The sequence below is a fragment of the Homo sapiens genome, chromosome 4, assembly GCF_000001405.40.
Source record: "Homo sapiens chromosome 4, GRCh38.p14 Primary Assembly".
Taxonomy (NCBI): Eukaryota; Metazoa; Chordata; class Mammalia; order Primates; family Hominidae; genus Homo; species Homo sapiens.
In genome coordinates this window covers 37442754-37454147 of record NC_000004.12, presented here as the reverse complement: position 1 = coordinate 37454147, position 11394 = coordinate 37442754, and the positions used below count along the sequence as shown (strand labels likewise).

General features: G+C 43.4%; 2 protein-coding genes across 4 annotated transcripts in view; both read right to left on the bottom strand.

Moving 5' to 3' along the window:
• PGCKA1 (PDCD10 and GCKIII kinases associated 1) overlaps positions 1 to 893 on the bottom strand; it is a 140256-nt gene extending 139363 nt beyond the window's left edge. For 2 of the 3 annotated variants that reach the window (XM_011513712.3, NM_001104629.2), the window contains exon 1: positions 108 to 223. The gene's annotated coding sequence lies outside the window, so the exon portion shown is untranslated. Of the gene's footprint in view, positions 1 to 107; positions 224 to 317 lie in introns of those variants that run through there. The other variant, XM_011513713.3, reaches the window with a different exon arrangement.
• Positions 894 to 4684: 3791 nt separating this feature from the next.
• The window catches only part of NWD2 (NACHT and WD repeat domain containing 2), a 204721-nt gene continuing 198011 nt past the window's right edge, over positions 4685 to 11394 (bottom strand). The window contains exon 7 of the mRNA NM_001144990.2: positions 4685 to 10863. Coding sequence (NP_001138462.1) covers positions 6931 to 10863 — 3933 coding nt within the window. The 3' untranslated portion in view covers positions 4685 to 6930. The remainder of the gene's footprint in view (positions 10864 to 11394) is intronic.

Here is an 11394-nt window from a genome sequence, read left to right as displayed (position 1 = left end):
CTTAAAAGTAGGCGACTCGGAGAGAAGTGGGGGAAAGCTCGCCCCAAAGCCAAGTTCCGCAGGACTAAAGCCCTCTTTGCGCGCGCGGGGCGGGGGATTGTCCCTACCTGGGGCCAGACGGCGGCGGCGGCGGCGGCGGCGGGGTCCCGGCGCCCATGGCTTCGCCGGCCTCGGGCAGCCGCGCCGGGAGACGCTAGCGGCTCCGCGCTGCCCTGAGCCCGCCGAGCTCGCAGCGGCCGCCCCAGCGCTGTCATTGGGCCCGCGCGTCACGTGGCCCGGGCTGCGGGTGAGCCTTCCCGACACGCGTAACCCTTTACCTGCACGCCCCGAGGATGCGGCGGGGCTAGGGCTCGAAACCCTGGAGTACGATGTCCGACATCCCCGGGGCCGGGGTGGCAGTCCCGGGCGCACTGAAGCAGAAAATCCACGCGCTTGTTGGCCTCTGAGCACAAACGACCGCGCCAACCGCCTGCCATCACGGGAAACTCCGGGGTGCTTACTCCAATGTTGCGCTGGAGAGAAGGGAGCTTCCTATGATCAAGGGACTGGAGTACGGGGATACACAAAACAAATGCACCCGCTGGCAAATAGTTGTGTACTCCCAAACCCCGAGAACTTGGCATTTTTCAGTTTCCTCCTTATTTCTGGCATTCGCCGCCTAGACCTGCTGTGAGTTCCATGGCCAGCCCTGTATGAGCTACATGGACCTAGAAACAGCGGGGGCGCCACCACCACGATAAAAACCAGGGAAGTTGCACACACTCGCCTGCACCCTAAAGGCCCCAGGGGGAGTTCAATGAACTCCTGGTTCCCCGTCCCCTCCTCACCCACTCCCCCTCCATCCCTTTCTTTTCCTGAGGTCTTAGGGCATTGGCCACAAGACTGCATCCAATCTACTGAGTTCCACATTCGTAGCTGTTACAATCCATATACCTAAGGCGGGTGGAGAACTGACTCTGCTTAAGGACTGGACATTCTTTTCACCTGTGCTCCAAAGCAAATGCTGAGCTTGCCAAAAAAAGTGTTAAGCAACTGCGCCACCTAGCTTACCCTCTTCTCTCTTCTTTTCAACTCATCCAGCAAGAGAATAAAATAGGATATTGGAGAGGCATCTGGACAGAGTATTATCTAAGGATGGACATAGTGTCCTTGGGTTTTCAATGTATCTACTTTAATGATGCCAGCCCCATTCACATGATATTTGCCAGGCTTTTGAGAATTTGAACACTCCATTTTTTGAATCCTTCTAATTTTGCAGTGCTGGGATTGCACGCTGTAAAGTGTTAGATTTTTGCAGGAAGTTATATGTGGTTTTACATCCTTTGTCACAATGAACGGCACTCATGTCCAACTTATAGTCGACACTTAATTGTCTACAGGATATTGATACATTTATCAAGTAGGTTATCTGTCGAAAAAGGGGTTGGTATTTGTATTGGGTTTCATTTTATTTATTTATTTATTATTATTTGAGACAGGGTCTGGCTGTTGCACACAGGCTGGAGTGTGATGCGATCTCAGCTTACTGCAACCTCCTCCTCTGGGGATCAAGGGATCCTCCCACCTCAGCCTCTGGAGTGCCTGGGGCTACAGGCTCATGCTACCATGCTCGGCTAATTTTTGTATTATTATTATTATTATTACTATTATTATTATTATTTTTGTGGAGACTAGGGTGGGGGTGGGCTCTCCTAAACTTGCCCAGGCTGGTCTTGAACTCCTGAGGTTAAGCAATCCGCTCGCCTCGGCCTCCCAAAGTGCTGGGATTGCAAGCTGAGCCACCGCGCGCCCCAGCCTGCCTTAGATTTTAAAGTGCAGTTCCTAGACTAATAGCATCGGCATAATCTGAGAGAATGTAGTAAAAATGCAAATTCTTGGGACCCACCCCAGACGTATTGATTCAGAAATAGTTGGGGAGGGAGGGTGAAGAAATCTGTGTTTTAGCAAGTGGTACCTACTCCAGTTTGCGAACCGTTGCTCTGAATATGCACAGGTAGCTGGCGAAGTTCCCCTCATCTATTAAATAGTAAGGGCTGGCATTCTATAAAGCTAGAGGTGCTGCTTTTATTTGTATCCCTAGATTACCAGTTTTATGTAATCTGTCATGTTGATACACTGAAACTGAACCCTCCATGTGTCCATACAACGTGTAATCTGTACTTCTTGCAGATCTCTTGGAATGCCAAATTGAGATCTGAGGGGCCCTTGTAAAACATATGGAAGAAAAACCTATGGTTTCTTGATGCACACCAGGGTGAAAACACCATGATTCACTTCATTTTTTAGGTGTGCCCATGTTTTCACTGACATGTAAATTGTTCCCAGCCAATGAGTCATGAAAGATAGGAAAGCTAATTTTTTTGAGTGGATTTATCAACATGGTTCCAAATTTGTGAAAGAGTTCTAAAAAACAAACAACATTAAAAACATTATGGTATCCGTTTATGTTATAGCCCAAAAAACTCCCCACACCATATTAGGCATTGCAGTAAGGGCTCCTTGCAATCCATTGCAATCTCCTTACTGAGAAAGAAAGAACTGAGTGGGTTTTTATTTGAGTTTTCTCCATGGGATAGATAGACTATTTCTAATGGGCTAGATGGATGTCTTACTTTTAAACTCTCTAGGTCCAAGTTTGTTTTGTGATTTTCCCCCACTTTCATCCCCTGTTCACTTTACATTTGTAATTCTATCTACTCAATTCCAATTGGAACTGGAATTATTTGAGTTTTCCCTCCCCTTCATCAAACACCTCTATCCATTAAGCCCTGAAATAAATCTTGAATTGCCCCTACTCTAAGCAGGTTCTAAGATCAGGTTCTAACACTTTCTAACTGAGATCATGGCCATGGTCTTTACTGGTCTCCCAGCTTCTGATCTTTTCCATCTGAAAGCCATCTGACAAAGTAACTGCCCTTCCCCAAAACTTTTTTTCCCAGCTCCCTGTTGAAACCAGCGCAATTTTCCAACAAGCCAAATGCCCATAGCACTGAAGCTTGAGAAACTTACACCTGCTGCCTGTTGACCAATTCCTCTTCCTTAACCCTCCCTAATTCCTGTTTTCCTATAGGAGGTTACAGTGAGATGCTAGACACCTGCTGCCTATTGAGCAACTCCTCTTCCTTGCCCTGCCTGTTTTCTCCCCCCATATAAACCCCAACTTTAGCCAGGGGAGATTCAGATTTGAGTCTTGTCTCCTGTCTCTGGCTGATATCACCCATAATAAAGCCTTCTTCCCTGACAATACTCATTGCCTTAGTGATTGGCTTTCTGTGTAGTGAGCAACAGGACCTAGGCTGGGCCCCTGGCTTTCAGTGACACTATTGACTACTGAATAAAGTCTAAAATCCCAACAGCATTTGAAGTCGCCTGAAATATGCTTCAATGCCCATTTTTGCTCATGCAGCTTCCTTTACCTGAAATGTCTCTCTGACATTGACAGCTAAGTCCTAATTATTCTTCTAGCCTCAGCTCTATCTCCTCTGGGTCAACCTTTTCGATATTCAGGTAGTGTTAATTGCTCCTCTGTAGTGTATCCTCAGCACCTGGCTCTCACTCTTACTAACTTTGAAATCAGTCTCATCTGGTTTAGCTGTGTCTCTTCTAGACTGTAGGGTTCTGGATGGCAGGAGTCATGCGTGACTTTTCAAATCATTCCAGGATCTAGCATAATGCCTTGGGCATAGCAAGCATACAGTGTTGACTGTTGTGTTCTTGGCTCTAGGAAAGAAGATATTTAAACAAACTCTATTTATTTGAAATGCTTTTTTGCAAATATTTATTAACTTCTCTACATTTTCTTTGAGAACTAAAAGGAGAGGGGTTTAGCCTTTTCAACCTAAAGATATTACCCTTTGTAAGTAATGGAATTGTTTTCAGTGGTGGTAAATTTTGAACACGTTAGTCTCAGCCATGTGATGCAGGCAATAAACCAGAATAATTTATTTTCGTAACACATTAAAGTTTCTCTGAGAACAATTATTTCATGACAACTAGATACTAGCTTTCAGATTATTTCCTATGTATCATCACTTAAGCTCACCAATACTCCTCTGTTTCTGTTTTTTAAAAATATTTTTTGGTGCGTGTGTGGATTCTCAGATCCAAGAGGCAAGAGATGGAAGAAAGGGCATGTGGGAAGGCTCCCCTTGGTCCTGCTCGTTCGCGCAAAGGGAATTTATGAGAGAGACAACTCCTCAGTCATCACCCTTCTTCTCCTTCCTCCCCATCCTTCTATTAATGAATTCATCAACTATTTCTGTATACCTGAAAAACGTGAGAGTTTGCAGCAAATTTCAGTGATCTTCAGAGCTAGCCCAGTCTCCCACCTGCAAGTTAGAAAACACCTTGCAGGTCATTATTGATCTCTAAGTGCCTACTAGATACTAAATGCTCTGTTTTGATGTACTTTGAGAAAGTTAAGGAAAAAGACACTGAGAGTGCACTGAAATCTTGTTCAGCTATTCTCCCTGGACCCGTTTCTAGGTTTCTTTACCTATACATTTGGAATGCTAACAGTACCTACTTCACAGGGCTGTTGTGAAGTTTAAATGGCTTAGTACATGCAAAGCTCCAAGTACAGTGCCTGGTGCAACATAAGCAGTAAGCATGAACAGTTATTATTATTACTGAAGGTCTCTAATCACATCTGCCAAAAATGGGGGAGAAAAACAGCACGCCAATCTAAGTAGTTTATCTTTTATTCATACAAATAATACATACACAAGACTGTATATTGTTTGAAGACTGAAATAATTTTCTAGTGTAACAACTCTGTAACAAAATTTAACTAAATGTAACATTTATGAAAATATAAATCTCTGATTGGGTAATTCTTCCCAACGATACAAAGTTTACATAAAAACATTCAATATGAGCTATCAGTTGCAAACAAGTTAGGAAAAATCATTCAAGTCACTTGTATACTCTATTGGCTTTTACATAGAACATTCACATACTACATTTAATCCATCTAGGCATTTAATTCTTAGAAATGTGTGGCATGGAGGTTCAACTGATAATGACAGGAATGAGAATGTGTTGCCTAAAGAGCTCAAAAGCATAGACTCATATAATCAACTCCAGGTGATCTGTATGTGGTTTGCCTTCTCTGGGCTACCACCTCCCTGGCTAGTAGCTAAACCATAAGTAACATACTGAAAAACATCTTTCACTATGGACCTGGGTATTTTTATCTGAATCACATCTTTGAACGCTTACATGTTAAACTGCTTTCCAAGAGGAAATACAATTGACCTGGATTCTCTATGGGTTACATGAATTTATTTTTCCTATTAGCATCAATAATCATGATGTTGCTGAAGTTTTTCTTATACTGCTTCCCAATGTCCCTATGAGGGCTACAGCAGAAACTATCACTATCTTTATTTTGCACTTCACAAAAACAACACACTGATGAAGTTAAAGACCTGTCTAGGAATACACAATGAGTTTATGGCAGAGCTGGGCCTAGAGCAAATCAATTCCTTGTTCATTATTCTAGTAAAGTGTTACTTCTCTACTTTCTAAGAAAACTAAACTCAACCAAAAGTGTGGATACCTTTTGAAAAGTTATCCAAGGACATGCCGTAAGGAGGATATGGAAGAAAGAACAATCATCTTCACCTTTTGAGATGCAATGTTTTCTTTTAAACAGGTGAATTAATTTTAAAAAATATTTAATACCATTCCACAGCTTCTGCTTTGAAATGGATAGGACTATAAAAGGCTCAGAAGAGTCCTCAATCAGGAAGAGTAACAGATAAAGAAGCATACAGATGGTGTGTAGAAGTAAGAAAGTGATTACAAACAAGGACAATAAAGAACTTTTGGACACCCTTAAGATTTATGGAATATTTTAGCACAAAGACAGGCATATTCAGTTTATCCCAGAGTATTTGGTCATCTATCTGCATTTTACACAGGAAAGAGAAGGAATGTGAGTAAGGCAAACGTCATCAGTATCTCAGAGATGGCATGTTGAGAAAGCTTGCTTTCTATGAAGACTAACTGCAGGAATTTAGGGAATATTTATGCTTCCATACAAACTGACCAAATAGTACAGACTTCTGTTAGTACAATGATGGAAATGGACAGGTGTTTTGACCAGATTTGTAATGCCCTTCCTGTAATCTTCTTTACACCCAGCACAAATATGCATTTCAAAAAGATGCGAAAAGATTGTTGTTTCTTACTAAATGTGTTCTTTTGCAACCCAGGAAATAGTTTAAAAATCATATATTCTGTTATACAGAAACCCTCGCATGCAATTGTTGCAACTGTCTTTTAATAAAGACTGACTCTCCATGTTCAGTAGCCCTATGATAGTGGTAGTTAGTTCTTGTCCCAGTCCAGTCCACAGTCTCATGTTTCAGGTCATATCTCTCGGGAAACTGGGAATACACTTGGGTATTTTTGTTACATATTTTGCACCTTTAGACCGTTCACTGCAGACTAGGTGTACACAGTTGTCAGGACTGTAAAATGTAAAGAGAGATTAAGGCTGTGTTTACTTATCACACAATCATTTGAAGTCAAGCAGCTCTTTGTCTTCATGATTTCAGCTGATTTTTGTAGAACTAATTCCCATCCAAATGATCTGTATATAACTCTAGCCTCTCTCATCTTAACCAGTGGGATGTATTATGCTGCCTCACCACACAGCTAATTTAAAAACTTTTAGCCTCTGCCTTTCAGATGAAGTAACCATTTAAATATTACTACTAGAAATTCTGACATTCTGGATACACTTTGACAAAAAGACCACACCCAAGACTAACCTATTTGTCCATTTCATGAACATCTTAATAAAACACTGGAATTCCAGCATCGCTCCTGCCTTTTAATAAATGAATAGTTTATCATTTGGGGCACATTTTTTTCCCTTCTGTACGTGGATCACATATTTCTGCTTAGCTGGAAAACATTTTGTCAGTTATCAGGGGCATAGCTGTGGCCCCTGGCTTCTAGGGCCGAGCATACCCGCTCATAACAAGAGTTGTGTTTCTTGGAGGGTGTTGCTTCATTGGACTCAGTAGAGTCACTAACTGTGATGGGGCTGTCTCTTGCAAAGACCTCAGTGGACTCTCTCCATAAGCAATCCACAGATATTTTAAAACAATAACTGTTACACTTTGGCCTGGAGGTGTGTGTTGCATTGTTGAAAATTTGTCTGCTATTTGAAGTGGCAATTTTGATTTTCAGTGCAGCATCTACACGGTCTACTACCGTGTAGATCCCTATACTCCCATCATCAAAGCCCACAATGATGTTCAGGTGCCTCTGGGAGAGTGCAAGGAAAGTTGGTGTTTTGTAAAGGGAACAAGCACCGATATTTTTGCCATCTGCCAGTCTCATTACAATTAAACTGAATATTGCACCATTTTCATCCTCCTCCTCCCCATTTCGGAAACAAATGTATACCAGGTAGCGACCATCCCGAGACAACCTCTGCCGCCAGATGATCCCAGAGGCGTGAACCACCCGCAATTTACCACTGTATAAATCTAGCACATTGATGTTTTCATCTCCCCTGGCTATAATGCCTAGCTTTCCATTGGGAGAAATTTCAAAGTCCTCCAGATTTTTCAAGAAGTTGTTTGGAAGTTGCACGCGCCGACAGATCACTTCATCTGTCAGACTCCAGATGTTCACAGTCTCGGCCGATGTGATAAACACGATGATATCAGGACAGTCAGGGATTAATTTAAAATTCACGATGGTGGTCCCATCTTCACAGCAAAATTTCTTGGTGATACTTCCTGTCCAAAGACTGACTGCCAACACTTTGCTTTTAGTCATTCCCACCACGAAGGTATTTGCGGAGGTAATAAAGGCATTCTGCAAAGTGGTCAGAATGTTGCAGACCCTGTGGCCTGTGGCGAGCCTCCAAACCCTGGAGGCATTTTCCTCACAGAGCGAGACCACAAACTGGTCATTGTGTGTAATCAGCAGCTGAGATATTCTCTGCCCGTTAATTCGAAAAAGGTTTTCACCACTGCTGGTGTGCCAGACATACTGGCTGCTTTTGTCATCTGATGTCACCATTATATCTCCGGTGGATGTTAACACACAGTGTTCAACTATTCCTTCATGCTTGAATACTGCTTCGATGAAGCCACTGCTGAAGTTCCACTTATGAACACAATCGGATCCATCCAGGGAGTAAATGATTTCCCCTCTAGCAGGCAACAACAGACTTTGGATGGGTTTTCCAGTCTTATCTATGTTGGACATAGCTGTGATTATATCTATGTCCCAAATGGAAAGAACACCACTGGTTGATAAAGACAGTAGCATATTGTGGTGACTGGATTTCACTAACTTAACAATGGAACCTGAGATTTCCTGCAAGCTTGCCATACACTGTCCTGTGTCCCGCCTCCAAAAAAACACAGCTGAGGTATTTTCCATGGTGGCGATGATACAATCTCCATTTTTAGACAGCACGGCAGATATAAAGCGTTCGTTGTGCTTGGCTCTGAACTTTTCAGCCACCTTCCACAGACCAGTATCTAAGAGCTCAATGCTGAGGGCTTTACAGATCAGAACTGCACTTTGGTCTTCTGAAAGCTCAATGCTGACCACCTCACTGTCTTCTCTTCGGCAATCAAAGTCATCAGTCAGCTGGGGGCTGGAAATGTCCTCAGTATTCCAAACAGAAAGACTTCCTTCACTGTCTACCATGACCATTTCCTGAGCTGTGTCCAAGATAAGAAGAAACTTCACAAATCCACCTGAAAATTCTGATGTCACTGTACATAACTTTTCTCCACTCCCTAAATGAAATATGGTGGTTGTGTTCAGGTATTGGCCACAGAAAGCATACAGACCATCCAGGGAGCACTGGACGCACGTCACTTCATACCAGCAGTGGAACTGGTAAAGCGGCCATCCGTACAGCAGATCGATGACAGTGACATCTTTGCTGGCTTCGAGCCATGCAAGGGCGTGGTTGGCGGACAGTGTAAATCCATTGATGTAGGTGGCGCTGCTTCCATGCTTGGTCCCCTTGATTTCTACTTCAGACAGGAGGCAAGAATTGACATTGTCATAAATCAACAAGGTGTTATTTGTTGTAGCCACCACAAGGTACTTTTCATCACTGGTGAGTTTCATGCCCAGGATGACAGACTGGGCTGTGGTGATTTGCCTGAGTAGCTGTCGAGTCTCTACATCCCAGGTGCTGATGGAACCATTTTCTAAAGCTGTGAGGACAGTGCTGGGGTTACAGGTAGGCAGGATCTCTGTGACATGCAGGTGACTGGATGATAAGGGAAGACGCTCTGGGCTGTATGTCACATCCATGGATGAATGCAGTGGTACAATGGAGCAATATTTGGGCCCATCTTTATCACACTCTAAAAGAAGATGTCTAAGTTTGGGCAGGGAGCTTACAACAGGCAGCAGTCTTTGCTGAAGCTCTGCTGAAAGGGAGCCGGGAAATGCAGTGACCTTGTTTTTGATGCTGCGGAGGGTGTTGGCCAGGAACTTCAGCTCCTTCTCTTGCGAGTAGTTGTAAGCCAGCTCAATGTCTGAAAGCACTTTGTCAAACTGGCCAATTTTGATCATGGTATAAAGCCAGCTGAAGTTCATGATGATGCCGTAAAGCAGGTCATCGGTTTTTCCACACCTCGTCAAGTGGTACAACAGCTCAGACATTTTCCGATGATTAACGAAAAAGATGTCAGGTTCCAGGGGATTACACTGGAAAACCCAGGGCTGGTCTGGAGCCTGCCTGTCAAAGGAAGCCTGTTCCATGAAGTGCTTTTCTTCCTCCAGCAAACTTCTGTTCTCCAAGTCAAGGCAGCCATTCAAGTAGGGGTCCTCAAGGCAGAAGGCTTTCCTCCTGCCCCCTGACCAAACCCCCAGAAAATAATCTGCTAAGATGGTGTGCATTTCACGCAGGTCATTGTCATCCTGCAGATATAGCTTCTGGGCTATGAGCTGCAGGTGTCTGTTGGCCCAGACTAGGAGTGTGACATTTTTCACATGTCTTTCTATTAGGTATCCACTGAGACCCTCCTTGAGCCTTGCAATGTACAAGTAAGGTACTCTCAGGGGATTGCTGGGTCTGGTGTTTTCTTTGAGCTCACTCATTACACTGTTGTCTAGGGCTAACACATCCTCCAGTTCCATTTCACTCAGACCCATTTTGGCCATGGTGATGTAACCAAGAGCCCTAGAGACCAGTTTCTGACCACACTTCTTCTCCAAGGACCAGAATAACTGCTCTATACTTTCATGAACGGTGACAGAGAGGGAGGATTCATCGACGTCTTTGTGAGATCTCCAGTGCCTCACCTCCCTGAAGGTCAGGTTCACAAACATTGGCAGTGTGCACTTGGATAATGCATTGTTCACATAAATCTGCTGGCCTGATGTGACCTTCCTTTTGACGCGCAGCAGCTGGTGTTTGAGGACCTGGCTGCACATCTTCCTGTCTCGGGGAATCAGCTCGATGTAGTTGTCTTCTTCATGGATAAGGCACCTTAGTTTCTGCAAGATCCCATGTTTGTTGGGCAGCGTGGAAAGGACTATCCGGACAAAGCGGGGCAGGTGAGCTGGGAGCCACCAAAGCTTCCTGGCATCATCATTCTCTGAGAGCTGCTCTAGTGCATCGAATATTATGACTAGAGGTCTCTGCAGTGAAGACTCATTCAAAAGATTTATAAATAAGTCACAGAGGTCATGGATCTTCTTAGGGTAGCTTTGAACCAGACACCGGTAGTTAACTGCCAATTGTTCACAAACACTTAGAAGGAGAGTCCTAAGGTCAGAGCTCATGTCTGTCGTTCCTAGAAATCTCACGATGACTACTGGGTCAGATTCTGGTCCTGTGTCCTCATGTAGCCAGCCATAAGCCTGAAACACAAAAGTGGAGTTTAGAATGGTAATATGTATTCACATGGTCATATGTGATAACATTGCCTCTCTCCAGAGCTCAGATTTCTGGTCTCCTCTGCTGTGCAGGAAATAGCTTAGGACCAAAAATTGGAAAAACCCTCTGAGAAGGCCAAAGAACTGCCATGAAGCTTGTGTACCAAAATCTACAGGTGAGACCCTCAGGATTACCCCTACTGAGTGTACTAAAGTAGCAATAATAGTATTTTTCACTCATTCGGCAATATTTAGCTTGTATTCCAGAAGATACAAGGTGTTTCATGAATTATAAATACAAATATCTAGTATGGTCAGCTTTGTATCACTGAATGAATACCCATTTCCTGGTGCAGTTGTTGGCACACAGTAGGTCCTTTGTAAGTGTTTAATGAATGGATAAGTAATGATTTACATATTATATTAAGTTAAATATATGCATTAATTGAGAGCATATAATGTCATATATGGCTGACCAAATTTCCAATTAATTAGAAAGCAATAAAAATATTCAGT